This window comes from Homo sapiens, chromosome 4, assembly GCF_000001405.40.
Source record: "Homo sapiens chromosome 4, GRCh38.p14 Primary Assembly".
NCBI lineage: Eukaryota > Metazoa > Chordata > Mammalia > Primates > Hominidae > Homo > Homo sapiens.
This window is the reverse complement of record NC_000004.12, coordinates 99,321,815-99,336,369: the sequence shown is the minus strand read 5'-3', so window position 1 is coordinate 99,336,369 and position 14,555 is coordinate 99,321,815.

Sequence of the window (14,555 nt, the reverse complement as noted above, 5' to 3'; positions counted from 1 at the left end):
ACATGCTGGGCTATGGTGCTTGAAGTCTTCTAACTCTATCTCAATTTTCACTGTCTGCATTTTCCTTTTTTAAATAAAATGTACCAAATCCCTAAGGTAAAAACTACAGTATGGTAAAGAATAGACTCAAATTTATAAGTGAAGAAGATCCAGAAGTTCTAAATCCAGGATTTTAATTAGTAACTCAAATAAAATGCCACACATTTTCATACAATGAAGGGAAGTGTTTTTATTGCTTTTATGCTATTTGTTTACAGTGAAAATACAATTGATTTTTAAAAATAAAAGCGGATTTTGTGCTTCATGTGACAAACTTAGGTTCAGACACTAAATGTGAAAACTGAACTATTCCTAGAATCATGTTCAAAAAATCTGTAATTTTTGCTCATGAAAGTGCTTCATTAGCTAAGCAGTCTTAGTTTATGATTCCAATTGACTGAAAATGAAGTATAAAGTAATTTAAAGTATTATGGTGGCTTTATATGTAGATATTGGGTGGCAAATGCTGTGAACACAGAGTGTAAAATTGGTAACTAAAATGGCAAAAACTCCTCAAGCAATGTGTTTTCCAAGTAGACACACACACACAGATGTATATTTGTGCAAAATTGTTTTTAATCTGGAACTTTCCTATTAACTACCATGTCTTACATCGTCTATGATCCTAGAATTTGTTTAATATTTTGAATAGGTAAAGGCCTGCGGTGGCCATTTGTTAATGCTTTTCCACTCTTGGGGAAGATTTGCATTTTGAGCTTTGTCTCTAAATGTGACATGCAAATATGATTCCTGGTAAAGGAGTTACAGCTGTCTCCAAAAATGCTACTTGTTGCAATACATACAATCTATTTCATATTGTGGAAGACCCTAGACATAAAGTAAAATAGTCTATCATTTACTGTGTGACCTTCAGTAAGTCACTCAATCTCTCTGAGCTTGTTCATCCTTTGTTTTGAAAAAAGTACTCAACCAGCCCATTACAGCTTTACCGAGGCTAAATGTGATGATATTAATGAAAGAGTTTTGCCAACTGGGAAGGGCATCCTAAATGTAGAGAACATGTGATTGTTTGGTCAAAAATGCTGAAGGAGATACTCAGGGTCAAGACACTTTTCAGCATCTCCCTAAGATAACATCATGGGATACCACCTGTTGCTGGGTGCTCTGTGGCTTTTACACTGATGCTGATGGTGTGAGATCCAGAAAAACAAGAAGCAGTTCTACATGGCCACCCCACAACAGGGTCATCAAATCCTGCCAGTGACACAGAGGCTGACATCCAGCTCCCACCCTCCTTCCTCCCAGGCTAGGGGAGAAGGTAGAGTTGAGGGCATTAGGTGGGCACTGCCAGTGTTGTTATAGAGTGGCACAGTCCTCCATGGGGTGAGAGTGGCACCTGGGAGCCTTCTGCACCATGCATTGGCTCCTAGTTACATTGACAATGGTGGGTCTAAAAAGGCAAGTAAAAATCAAAACATAAACGTGGAACCCCAGAGTGGCTTGTGTCCTGGTGGACCTAAAGTGGTGCACATGATCTGGGTGACTTCCAGCAAATTTTGACTCTAGAATCAAGGACTTCTATATATGCTGATCACCCCCTCTATAATGTAACTCTGTGAATGTACATAGTTTGCACTCATTTTAGCCAGCAGCCAAAGGCTTTGTCAAAATAAAGAAACTTTTCAAACTTTAAAAAGAGAAAAGTTTATGTTGACGGTTTAATTAATAACTGTGTGAGGTGCACTGACTTAGCACCTCCAGAAAGGGCATACAAACAAAACTCTGAATTAACTTTTTTCTACTTTATAAATCATACATGCTGCCCTGGGATTAGAAAGAAAGTCATCCCGACAGAATTATTAGAAAATTGCTCACATGTTGAAGTATAGTGAGAGCAAATCTATATCTGATAAACACATGCTTAGACACCTGACTATTCATTTCTGTAACCAAATGTTCCTTGAAACTGTTAAAATAACTATTTTATTAAAGTACATTAAATTCTATTTGCCTATCAAATATCTAGCAACATTCAGGAAGTGGTCCATTGGATAAAAAGAGAAAGAAAAATTGGTGGGACAAAAGTAAAAGTGGAGCTGGTACCAAACACTGATTTAATGAGATGGATGTTTACATATATTAACTTGGTTTGCTCATTTCTTTTACTTAGATCTCAGGGTCCAGATCACCTGCACGGCACTATCACAATCACCATAGAACCCACAGGTTGCTTAACACCTTACCAATAAAACTAATAAACAAAGATAACCAGAGAGATAAAAATATCTGGTTTCCATTGTTTCCAGGCTTGCTCTTTGAGGTATTTGACACTTCAGCAAATAACTCCGTAGTTATCAGTGAAAGCAGGTCAGAGAGATCAACAGATAATTCTTATGGAAATGTATTTAAAGACTACTACTCACTCAGAAACCAATAACGTACTGTGTTTTGGAAGATATCTAATTGCCTTAAGGAGATATAACTACAGTTTTTGAGTTTTTTGTTTGTTTCTTTGGTTTTTCTATTTTTATTTTTTAAAGTTTTATTATAGATTCAGGGGTACATGTGCAGGTTAGTTATGTAGGTAAACTCATGTCATAGGCAGTTGTACAGATTATTTTATCACCCAGGTACTAGGTCTAGTATCCAATAGTTCTTTTTTCTGTTCCTCTCCCTCCCATGCTTCACCCTCATGGAGGCTCCAGTGTCCATTGTTCCCCTCTTTGTGTCCATATGTTCTCATCATTTAGTTCCCATCTCATACCAGTCAGAATGGCTAGGTCTGACAAGGTTGCAAAGAAAAGGATATACTTATACACTGTTGGTGGGAGTTTAAATTAGTTCAACCATTGTGGAAAGCAATGTGGCAATTCCTCAAAGAGCTAAAAACGGAACTACCATTTGACCCAGCAATTTCATTACTGGGTATAAACCCAGAGAAATATAAATTGTTCTGCCATAAAGACACATGCATGCTTATGTTTATTGCAGCACTATTCCCAATAGCAAAGACATGGAATCAACATAAATGCCCATCAATGGCCAACTGGATAAAAAAAAAATGTGCTACATATACACCATGAAATACTATGCAGCCATAAAAAAGGAAGATATCATGTCCTTTACAGGAACATGGATGGAGCTGGAGGCCATTATCCTTAGCAAACTAACAAAGGAACAGAAAACCAAATACCACATGTATTCACTTATAAGTGGAAGTTAAATTATAGCTACAGTATTGAAACATTTTTAGGTTATTGTAAATTTAAATAATAAACATCACTTAGATGATACCATGTTTTAGGTAGGTGGGAGAAAAGAGCTCAGAAATAACTTCAAGACTAAATACTTATTTTGAACCTTAATTAAAACCTCAGGAAATTGGAAGCAAAACAAAAGCCAGAATAAATTATTTCATTAATGGAAGGAAATTCTAAGGCTTTTGATTTAATCTTTCCAAAATCTTCAAACTGTAATGAATAGCAGAAATAATTTGGAGCAGTCAAATACTATTTATTTTACATTTGGTATCTTCTCCTTCTTCAGGGACATTTAAAGACAGAGGACATTCAAAATGTGCTAGTTGACTTCTGAGAGTCAAAGAGCTTTGTGGTTCTCTGAGCTATCTGCTCTCCATCTCTCACAATAGTTCTGAGCAAAAGGAAGAATGAGGCAGGGCAGGGATAAGTATTAGATCCAAAATGAATACCTAAAAGAGAAAATGGCAATTTTCTCTTTTAACCTGAAAGTTCCATTCTATTGATTGGTACCTAATGCAAATATTTATGCCTAAATTTAAAGAATAAGGAGGAGTTTGATGGAAGCAAAACTAGAGGAGGGCATCCAAGACCAAGGGTTCAGCAGGAAACAGCAGAGCACGTTAAGGAATTACAAGAACTTAAAATTAATGGCCTGTAAACTTCACAATGGGAAAGGTCTATGGCCAAGTAACAATGATTCCTGGATTCCTTACAAGAAGTTTAGATTTTACCCTCTAAGAACAAGAACGCTGTTAAAACTTTTTGGAGAAGATTGATGATATGATCAGATTGGCATATTAAACTCATTCTTTTGGCCTTGAGGAGGGTGTATTAGAGGTGAGGAGAAGAATAGAGAGGGTGAGGAGAAGAATAGAGAGAATGAGGAGGTTTTAGCTGTGAACAAGACAGAATGGATTCTGTTTCAAGTAGTGACAAAGGAAAAGCAGGGAACCAGATAAATGAGACATTCTTAGAACATATCAGTGACATGTCATCAATATCAAGAGTGTGTGGTAAAAAAGGAAGAGGAAGAAAGCTAATTCCAAAGCATCAGCCTAACAACTTGATGTGGTTGTCCAAAGGTTGTCCAAATTTACCAACTTAGGATCTAAAGACAGTATCAGGTATTTGTGGGGAAGCTGGTTGTCTTAGTCCATTTTCTGCTGCTATAACAGAATACCTGAGACTGGGTGATTTATGATGAACAGAGAAATGTATTGGCTCACAGTTCTGAAGGCTGGGAAGTTCAATATCAAGGTGCCAACATCTGTTGAAGGCCTTCTTGCTAGATCATCACATGGTAGAAGGTGAGAGAGTGAGACAGAGCAAGAAAAAGCTAAATCTACCTTTTTGTAATGTAGTTAACCTCACCCATAATGGCAGAGCCTTTTGCCCTACTTTGTATGTATGTATGTATGTATGTATGTATGTATGTATGTATGTATGTATGTATTATGAGACAGTGTCTCACTCTGTCACCCAGGCTGGAGTGCATGGCATGATCTCGGCTCACTGCAACCTTTGCCTCCCAGGTTCAACTGATTCTCCTACCTCAACCTCCTGAGTACAGGATTCCATCACCACACCCGGCTAATTTTTGTATTTTTTGGTACAGACAGTTTCACTATGTTGCCCAGGCTGGTCTCGAACTCCTGACTTCAAGTGATCTGCCCACCTCAGCCTCCCAAAGTCCTGGGATTACAGGCATGAGCCACTGGGCCTGGCTAGCCTACTTCCTTCTTTAGGAATGGCACCTCCTAATACTATTACAATGGCAAGTAAATTTCAAATTGAGATTTGAAGGACTAATATTCAAACCATCACAATGGTAAAGTTTGGGAAATGGACTTGATGAGTTTGAAGGCCCTCTAGGATTTTCAAATGCAGTTTTTTATGCAAAGTCTACCTCCCGTTCAGAATGGGAGGTGCATGCCTGTAATCCCAGCACTTTGGGAGGCCGAGGCAGGAGGATCACAAGGTCAAGAGATGAAGACCATCCAGGCCAACATGGTGAAACCACGCCTCTACTAAAAAAATACAAAAATTAGCTGGGTGTGGTGGCACACGCCTATAGTCCCAGCTACTCGGAAGGCTGAGGCAGAAGAATCACTTGAACCCAGGAGGCAGAGGTTACAGGGAGCCAAGATTGCACCACTGCACTCTGGCCTGGTGACAGAGCGAGACTCCATCTCAAAAAAATAAAAATAAAAAAAATAAGAAAAGAAAATAATGGGAGGTACAGTTGTTGTAGGGCCAACTCTTAGTCATTTTTGTGGGGCAAGAATCTCTGACCTCAATTAATAATGGAGTCCTTACAGTCTCTTTGTTACTTTTTCACAACTACAAAAATTGTTGGCTAAACCCTCCACTTAAAACTCCTTATGTGAATATCAGAAGCAGAAATAAAAGCAATTTTATCATTTAGCCAGTATATAGAATTTTTAAAATTATGTTATACTATGTTTCAATTCTTACATCATAATCTTTCATAAATTATGCTAAATCTTGTCTCTATTCTATAATTTTTTTCTATTTGAAGCTGAATTTTTTATTTTTAAACACTTTTAGTAAGTTACATTATCTTGTCAGTTTCTCCCATGCCTTCCTACAAGTGAAAATCTTATCCCAAGTGACACTGGCATCTCTACTCACCAGTCTTTTTTATATCATGAAAAAGTTTGTCCAAATTCTCTCCTCTTTCTGAAGGCTTTCCTGGAAGAGATCCCTTTCTAAACATCTCCCTTAATTACACATAAAAGTTTACTCTAAAGTTTTTGAAAACGTGCTTGAAAAAATAACCAGAGTTGAAAGTGATTAATTATATAAAACATTTATTCACGTGTATATTAGTTTTCTATTTCTGAGTAACAAATTACCACACAATTATTGGCTTGAATGAACACCATTTATTATCTCATGGTTTCTGCAAGTCAAAAATCTGGAAACAGCTTAACTAGTTGCTCCAATTGCAGTCTCAATGGTATAGGCTGGCCTGTGTTCCTTTTTGGAGCTTGAGGCCCTCTTTCTGGCTCACATTGCTGGTCCCAGAATTCAGTTCCTAGTGGCTGTGGGACTGAGGCTTCCAGTTTCTTGCTGGCTGTTGACCAGGGAACAATCTCAGCATGGTTCCCTCCGCACATCCTCTCATGCTCCCAAACTCCTGACTCCAAAACCCCTCAAGTCTAACACAACAGAGTCTCCTATAATGTCAGATGATCACACACCTGACTATTCCATCAGCACTTGCTCTGTAACACAACCTAATCCATGGAGTGGCTGTCCCATCATATTCAAAGGTTCCATCCCCAAGCCATGTAAGCATAAGGGATCATACAAGGCATGTACACCAGGGAGCTGGAATCTTGGGAGTCAGCTTAGAATTCCGTCTATCATCATGTTCAATAAGCTTGGGCTGCTATACCAAACATAACAGACTGGGTGGCTTAAACAACAGACATTTATTTCTCACAGTTATGGAGGCTGGGGAGTACAAGACCAAGGGGCCAACAGAACTGGTGCCTGGTGAAGGGCAACTTCCTGGCCTGTAGACAGCCACCTTCCCTCTGTATCCTCACATGACTGAATGAATTATCACCTTGTGTCTCTTCCTATAATGGCACTAACCCCATTCAAGAGAGTGAAATCATCTCCCAAAAGCCCCACCTCCAAATACAATCACACTGGGGATTAGACTTCAACACGTGAATTTTGGTGGAACACGAAACTTCAGTCCATAGCACACAACATGGCAATAGAATTCATGAGGATGCTCTCGATGTCAAGTTCCTATAAATTATTAAAGAATGTGATTGACATTCTTTAAAAAGTTATTAAAGAAATTTGATTGGCCTGCTTCTATTTAAGACTTTCAAGAATATTATGTAAAGGAATTTGTACTATAGGGCAGATAGTTTACATAGTTAAGGGATTGTATTTATATATAAATATGTATTCCAGCGTAGAAATTATTGGCTAGGTCTGTAATCAAGTATTCCACAGAAGTGACTTTATAAGTGCTGAAACAGGATGATAGACACAAGGCTGAAGAGGATGGGGAGAAAATGCGTATGGTTGTGAGAATATATTGCTTTGATTCTTTGACTTCTCATGATATATAAAAACAAAGTGGGAAGTTGACTCCAATAATTTCATAAAAGTATTTCAAATCAAATTCTGAGCATGGATAAAATTTTCAAATTTTGGTATAAACAAATAAACTATGAAAGAAAATAATAGACAAGAAAAAATATTTTCAACATATATGATTGACAAAAAATGATATCTCTAGTATCCAAGTGCTTTTTTATTTAAAAATAGATAATAGGAAAATGGACAATGATGGAAATTCACAGAAGAGGAAATTAAAATGTCCAGCAGCCATACTAAATGGCACTGGGCCTTGGAAGTGGTCAAAAAATACAAAATGAAGCAAAATGAGATATTACTGCTTATCTATTAGCTTACACTGTTGGTAGAAATGTGCATTGTCTTAGGTTTCTGACAAGCAATTTGTGATATTTATTAAAATTTCCAACATGCACGCCCCAAGCAATATCACACTTGGGAATCAACTCCATAAAAATAAAAGTATATTTGTGTAAGAATATAGAGACAAGGCTACTTACTGCAGCCTTATTTGTAGAAGAAAAAAGAATTTTAAACTTACTGATTGGCAAAATAAGGAATGATAACTCCCTATTTTGAATGGTAAGTGAATCTTTTAAAAACTAGGGAGTCGGATGTCAGGCACACCTGTGATTCCAGCATTCTAGGAGGCTGTGGCAGGGAGATCCCTTGAGCTCAGGAGTTAAAGACCAGCATGGGCAACATGGCAAAGCCCTGTCTGTTGGGAACAGGCCCCCAAAATCTGGCCATAAACTGGCCCCAAAACTGGCCATAAACAAAATCTCTGCAGCACTGTGACATGTTCATGATGGCCATGATGCCCATGCTGGAAGGCTGTGGGTTTACTGGAATGAGGGCAAGGAACACCTGGCCCATCCAGGGCAGCAAACCGCTTAAAGGCTTTCTTAAACCACAAACAATAGCATGAGCAATCTGTGCCTTAAGGACATGCTCCTGCTGCAGATAACTAGCCAAACCCATCTCTTTATTTCAGCTCATCCCCTTGTTTCCCATAAGGAATACTTTTAGTTAATCTATAATCTATCAAAACAATGCCTATCACTGGCTTGCTGTTAATAAATACATGGGTAAATCTCTGTTTGAGGCTGTCAGCTCTGGAGGCTGTGAGACCCCTGATTTCCCACTCCACACCTCTATATTTCTGTGTGTGTGTCTTTAATTCCTCTAACGCTCAGGCCCGCTCGGTTAGGGTCTCCCTGACCAAGCTGGTCTCGGCACCTGTCTCTACAGAAAAACACAAAAATTAGCCAGGCATAGTGGTATGCAACTGTAGTCCCAGCTATTTGGGAGGCTGAGGTGAGACAATCACTGCAGCCTGGAAGGCAGAGGCAGAGCCATGATCGTGCCGCTGCACTCCAGCTTGGGCAACAGAGCAAGTCCTCATGTCAAAAAAAATTATATCTTAAAATCCGGAGGGATTAATATAATGCATCACTAAGTATAAAAAGCAAGTTACACAGTAATGTGTACTATATGATCCAATTTTTGTGAAAGACAAAACAAATTAAAATTTGTAATTATATATAGGTTTGTATGAGCATAGAGAAAGATATAGAAATATACAGAACAGGCTGTTCATCTCAGAAACAAGGATCTGAAAAGAGTTGAAGAACTAAAGTTAACTTTTTAACCATAACTGTTTGGTTTTACTAGTTAGGATGAGATTTATAATTTTATTACTTTTTTAACTTATAAAGAAACTATAAAGAAAGACTCCAGCTGCCAACATGTACATGTAATTGTAAAATAAAGGTATTGTAATTGTAATTTTTATTATTTAAAAAAAGTCTGACCAAATAATTGTCAAAATAATATAAACTGTCTCGGTCACCTCTAAAGCCTTAAGAAGATGTTATGCATTATGGAGTAATAGAGTCATAGAAATGTTTTCTTACTGGATCATTCAGGAATCTAAGATTATCAATGGCAGACATTTAAGTCTGGATATAAGAAAATTCTCGCAGGCCTAAATAGAAAACTTTTAGAACTATTAAAGATGAGATTATTATAAGGTCCAATAGATTTTTGGCTATAGTCTTGCAAGATTAATGCGAACAAGCTTTTGGAATTACCTGGGTAGTCCTGGGTTTTGCCTTTTTTCTCCCAAGTGGCTTATATTTGAATTTTCAATTGCCCTCTTGGGCCCCAGAGTGCTGGCAGCTGGGCATGTGTCTTCTACATGGAAACTTCCAAAATCATCCTTTGAAAAATCTGACCAGCCCAAGAGAAAATACCTACTCTTACTGACATTATATCCCCCAGCAATTAATCCCGCCAGATAGTTCTGTAGCAAATCTCACATGACACAGATGCCACCCTTGTATTCAGAGCTTCCCAATAGCTCATTAGTGCCCCATCCTGCAACAGAAGACAACCGAGATCATCAGAAATGTGGAGTGATTCTAGCTTTGTAATAGGAAAGATAGAAACAGGCAAAGAAAAAAGAAGTTGGAAGAAATAATCCATGAAATAAAAAAATTCAAAATTTTTTTAAAAGCTGTTATTAATATTTGTAAAAAGATATTACATACATGAAAAAAGAATATGTTGCCATAAAAAACTCTTGAGAATTAAAACTCATCACAGCACAGTAGAAATCCAATAGAAAGAAAAGATCTCAATAAATTCACCCCTTGGTGTAACTTTTTCTCCAGAAGATTACTAATGAAGTGCCCCAAAACTGATAAATTAATTCAAAGAAAGATGTGGTATCTGAGAAGCTGATGCTCTCACCCTGAGAAGAGGGAAGGGATTCCCCAGGATGAGGGTGAGGAGGCTCCAGGATGGCAGGTGTGGCCTGATGCAAAGCACCTCCTGCCCACATGGAAGTAAGTCAAAGACTCCAGGGAGATACACAGCTGGGAATAAAATTTTCAGGGACTATGTCATCATCTCATATCTCAAGCAATTTAAATGGAAATAAAATTGACATGTTCTGGGAAAATATGCTAAAAAATTCAAAAGTGGCTTTAAGGCTGACGAAGACATACAAAATACATATTTTGTATGTATTATACCATTTTGTATAAAATGGTAATAACAGTAGAATCTGCCTAATAGTATTATTGTGAGGATTACATGATCTGTTAATTGTAAAGCATTTAGAACAGTAAGTGGCACATACTTACAGTGACAAGGATATTAGCTATTTTATTGATATTTAGGTTATTAAACTCGAGTTAGGCTTCCTGGGATCCTGGCTCCACCACTAGATGTGTTACATTGGGAAATTTATACAATCTCTCTAAACCTCAGTGTCTTCATCTGTAAAATGTGCATGGCAATGGTATCTACCTGATAAGTTAATGCTAAACATTGCTATAAGTAAGGCAATGTGTGCACAGAGATTAGCAAAGTCAGCACTCCATGGATGTTACATACTGATACTAATCAGTTGTAATTTTTACAACAAAATATATTTTTAATTTTCAAAAGGAAAAAATTCTCCACCATTAAAGAACTCTTTAGCTTTTAGATATTTTTATATTGTGACAACCATACCATTTGTATTACTTTGTATTGTTTTAATAAACACTTGGTATTCCCACATCATCTCAGTAAATGTACTTTTAAGCATATGCCAAGCACATCATCAGAATAACTTAAAATGCATCAATAACTCATTTAAAATACATCAGTAAATCATTCGTGGAGCATTCAGATCGTTTGCAGTTTGGCTATCACAGAGAAGGCTGGATGGAACATCTCTGTTTTTGGATTGGGCTTCTTAGATTATTTCCCAACTGCCTTCACAGGAGGAATGTAAACAAACATTTTGTTCTCTCACACACGCTCTTCATGGAAGAATTCCAGGCTCCACAGCCACAGCCAGTCCAGCAAGCATTTCAGTTCCCTCAACATCTTTGGCTTCAGTACCAAAATCAAAATGAAATGCTAATTGAGTAAGAATTCATGGTTTTGAATGTGGGTATTTTCAAAAATTCCTCTAGGAACTTAAAATTTACTCTACTTATTGTAATATTCTATAGATTATTTATGTAACTATTCCATTCTCAAGTTCTATTTATTGCTACTAAAGTCCCTCTCCCACTCTTCATTTTGCATCTCATCCCCAAAAATGCTTTAAAGTCTGTTATTTATGCACATACTTGAAATGTTACAATTTTTTTCTAGCAATCATCTTTACAATAATATTAATCTTACCATTTTGCCAAATGATTTAACCCCAAAAATGAAGAATTTGTACTGAAGGTACTTTCTGCCAGTTACAATATTATTTCTTAGATCCAGGTAAATTATTGGCCCATGGGGAAAAGGAGACAGTTGGATCTCTTACAGAGATGCTAGTCTGTCCTTCTCGAGGCTTTGGAGTCACATCTCTGCACTACTCATCATTACATGCATAATTATATTAGAGATGCCAGTCCTTGCCTTCCACTAACCTTCCAAGAGAGCTTGTGGTAATTTGTTACATCAGCAATAGAAAATTAACACACCCTTCTTGCAAACATGGCCATCTACAGGCTGTGGGTAGACACATCTCCCTCTTTGACCACAACCTGGAAAAGCTCTCCAATTTTAAGAAGCCATAAGATTAGATTAGGTTCACCTGGATAATCCAAGCTAGTCTTCCCATCTCAAGACCTTTAACGGAATCACACCTACAAAATTCGTTTTTTTCCATGTAAAGCAATATATTCCTAGATTCCAGGGATTAGGAGTGGACCTCTTTGAGGGCCATTATTCTGCCTAGCACACCGGGGATCGCTGACCCAAACTGAAGCAAGCATATCATCTCTCTGGATAAGCTGCATTTATAATATAGTAGTTGGTGGAAATGTAATATAGAATCGGGCTGGCTTACAGAGACACACACAGAGAGAGAAACAGAGGAAAGTGATGCCCTGTGACCCCTAGAGAGTGACAGGGTTACCTTTGGACATTCCAGATGTTGCTACAGGCCTGCCATGGCCCTCTGATACTAGAACACTGACACTCAATCATGTGACAACTGCTCTTCCCCTCCATTTAAACTTTTAGAAGGTGGGGCAAAGAGTAAGCACAGAGTAGTTGCCAGATGGTATTAAGAAAGATCTCTTGACTCTATGAAGTTTGTGCCAAAGTTCTTTTGGCAGTTCATGGAGCCATGTGTTCACAAAGTGATGCAAGCTCATAAGTGGATATCACATTTCCAAATTCATTAGGGCCTTGAAAACAAGGTGGTAGTGGCTATAATTCCCTGAAATGCTATGTCTACAGGTGTGAGAGAGGATTAAACAGAAAAATGTATAAAAGGGGGTATTAGGGGAGAAAAATGTTTTCAAGATTCTTTGTCCATATGCTGACTGCATCTATACCTCTCAACTGCAACTCATCTTTCTTAATAAATCTTAATAAAATATCTTTCTTTCAAGGCTTCCTCATTCTCAAATTAGATGTCATTCATTTAATTTAGTCAACAAATATCTGAGCACTCACCCTGTGCCACTCATTGAGTTAAGAGCTGAGAATTCACAATGAAAAGACGGAGTAGGGTCTTCCTCTTTTGATTCCACGTTGAACTTTCTCCTGGCACTCACCACTTCCTGCTTCACAGGAGGGTTCTCTGTCTTCTCTACCTGACCACAGCCAATCCCACTGCTAATCTGTAATCCCTTAAAGAGGAGACACCAGATCTTCTGGATTATGGGACTGCTCATAGAACAGTGCGTGTCCTAACATAAAGGAGCACAAGAATTCAACAATCTTTCATTAAACACCTATTGTACACATGAAACTAGGTACAGTTGAAGATTTAAATGAAATTCAAGAACATCTCTGACCAGAAATTTCCAGTAGAACTTAGGAGACTGATCTCTACACTAAATATAAAGGCCACAAAAGAGAATGGGCCCTAAAACCACAGGAGGGATGCTAGTATGACAGGGATGGAAAGAAGTGAAGCATGACTGTGAGATGGCGTTAACATATCTCCACAAGGGCGACCTTGTCCTAGATCTCAAAGTTTGGGGAGGATTTGAATGGGCCAGAGGGACAGAAAAGAAGAGAAAAAGCATGATGAGCAAGAGCTTGAATGAGGAATGGATTCCTCTTTGGAGGACCACAGAGATACATGCTTCTAAAGAGCATAGGCCCTGTATTGGAGAATGGTGAGGAATAGTTGGATGAGAAGGCTAAAGCCAGGTTATCTGGGGCTATCTTCTTTCCGTCATACCTTTCCAAACTAGAAGCAACTAAAATCATAGGACCTCCTTTGCTTTCTATTGGGTGAATGTTTCTCAGTCTTGGTGTGAGTCTCAGTGCCTACATAATTAAAGCTTACTGAAATGTTCCCTTGGCAATTTTAGAGAAATATGTCCTCTATGCTAACATGTTCATATTGACAGACTATATCTAATTAAATAGTTGCCTGTATAGTTTTATGACGCCTCCAAGTGTGGATAAAAGAAAAATCAAACTCCTATGCTTGGAAAGCCATGAGGATACTAGCTACATTGATCAAAGGGTAATGGAAATGATCCAGTGAGGATTTTGCTCCATTTCTCACAATTATTTAAAATCTGCCACAAATGCCTGTTCCTCTACAATGCCTCCCCTGAGTCCTTCATTCTGAATAGCAACTCTGTCTCTGTTCCCAAAGCATTAACTGACCCCTGTGATAGGGCACTTCCCAGCCAGGCTGATATGTAGACTTGGTTTCCTGCGTGTCTTTTCACTATAAACTGTGAGCTTTCTTTCATGAATAATAATTGTAGCTAACATTTAGGAGGGTGCTCCTATCTGCAAAACTCCATGATGAGTGCTTTACAAGGATTATTTCATTTATTCACAAACAGTCCTTTAAAATGACGCCATTATTCATCTTCATCTCACAGATAAGGAAATTAAGGCAAAAAAAATTCAGTGAAATAATAAGTCCAAGTACACAGAACAAGTAAGGAACTGGGTTGGCCTGGTCCCACAAGCCATGCCATCACCGCTGCCCCATACTGCCTCTTGGCACAGGCAGAGGTCATGTCTTATTCATCACTGCTACTCCACTGGACCCAGCTTAGTGCCTGACACAGGGAGGTGTTCAGTCCATACATACTAGTTTTGAGTGGAGCAGAATTGCCAGGCACAGTGATCCCCTTTGCTGTGACTAATTGGGTGTCTGATTCTCTGCTGTAAAGACAAAGAGGCTGCTCT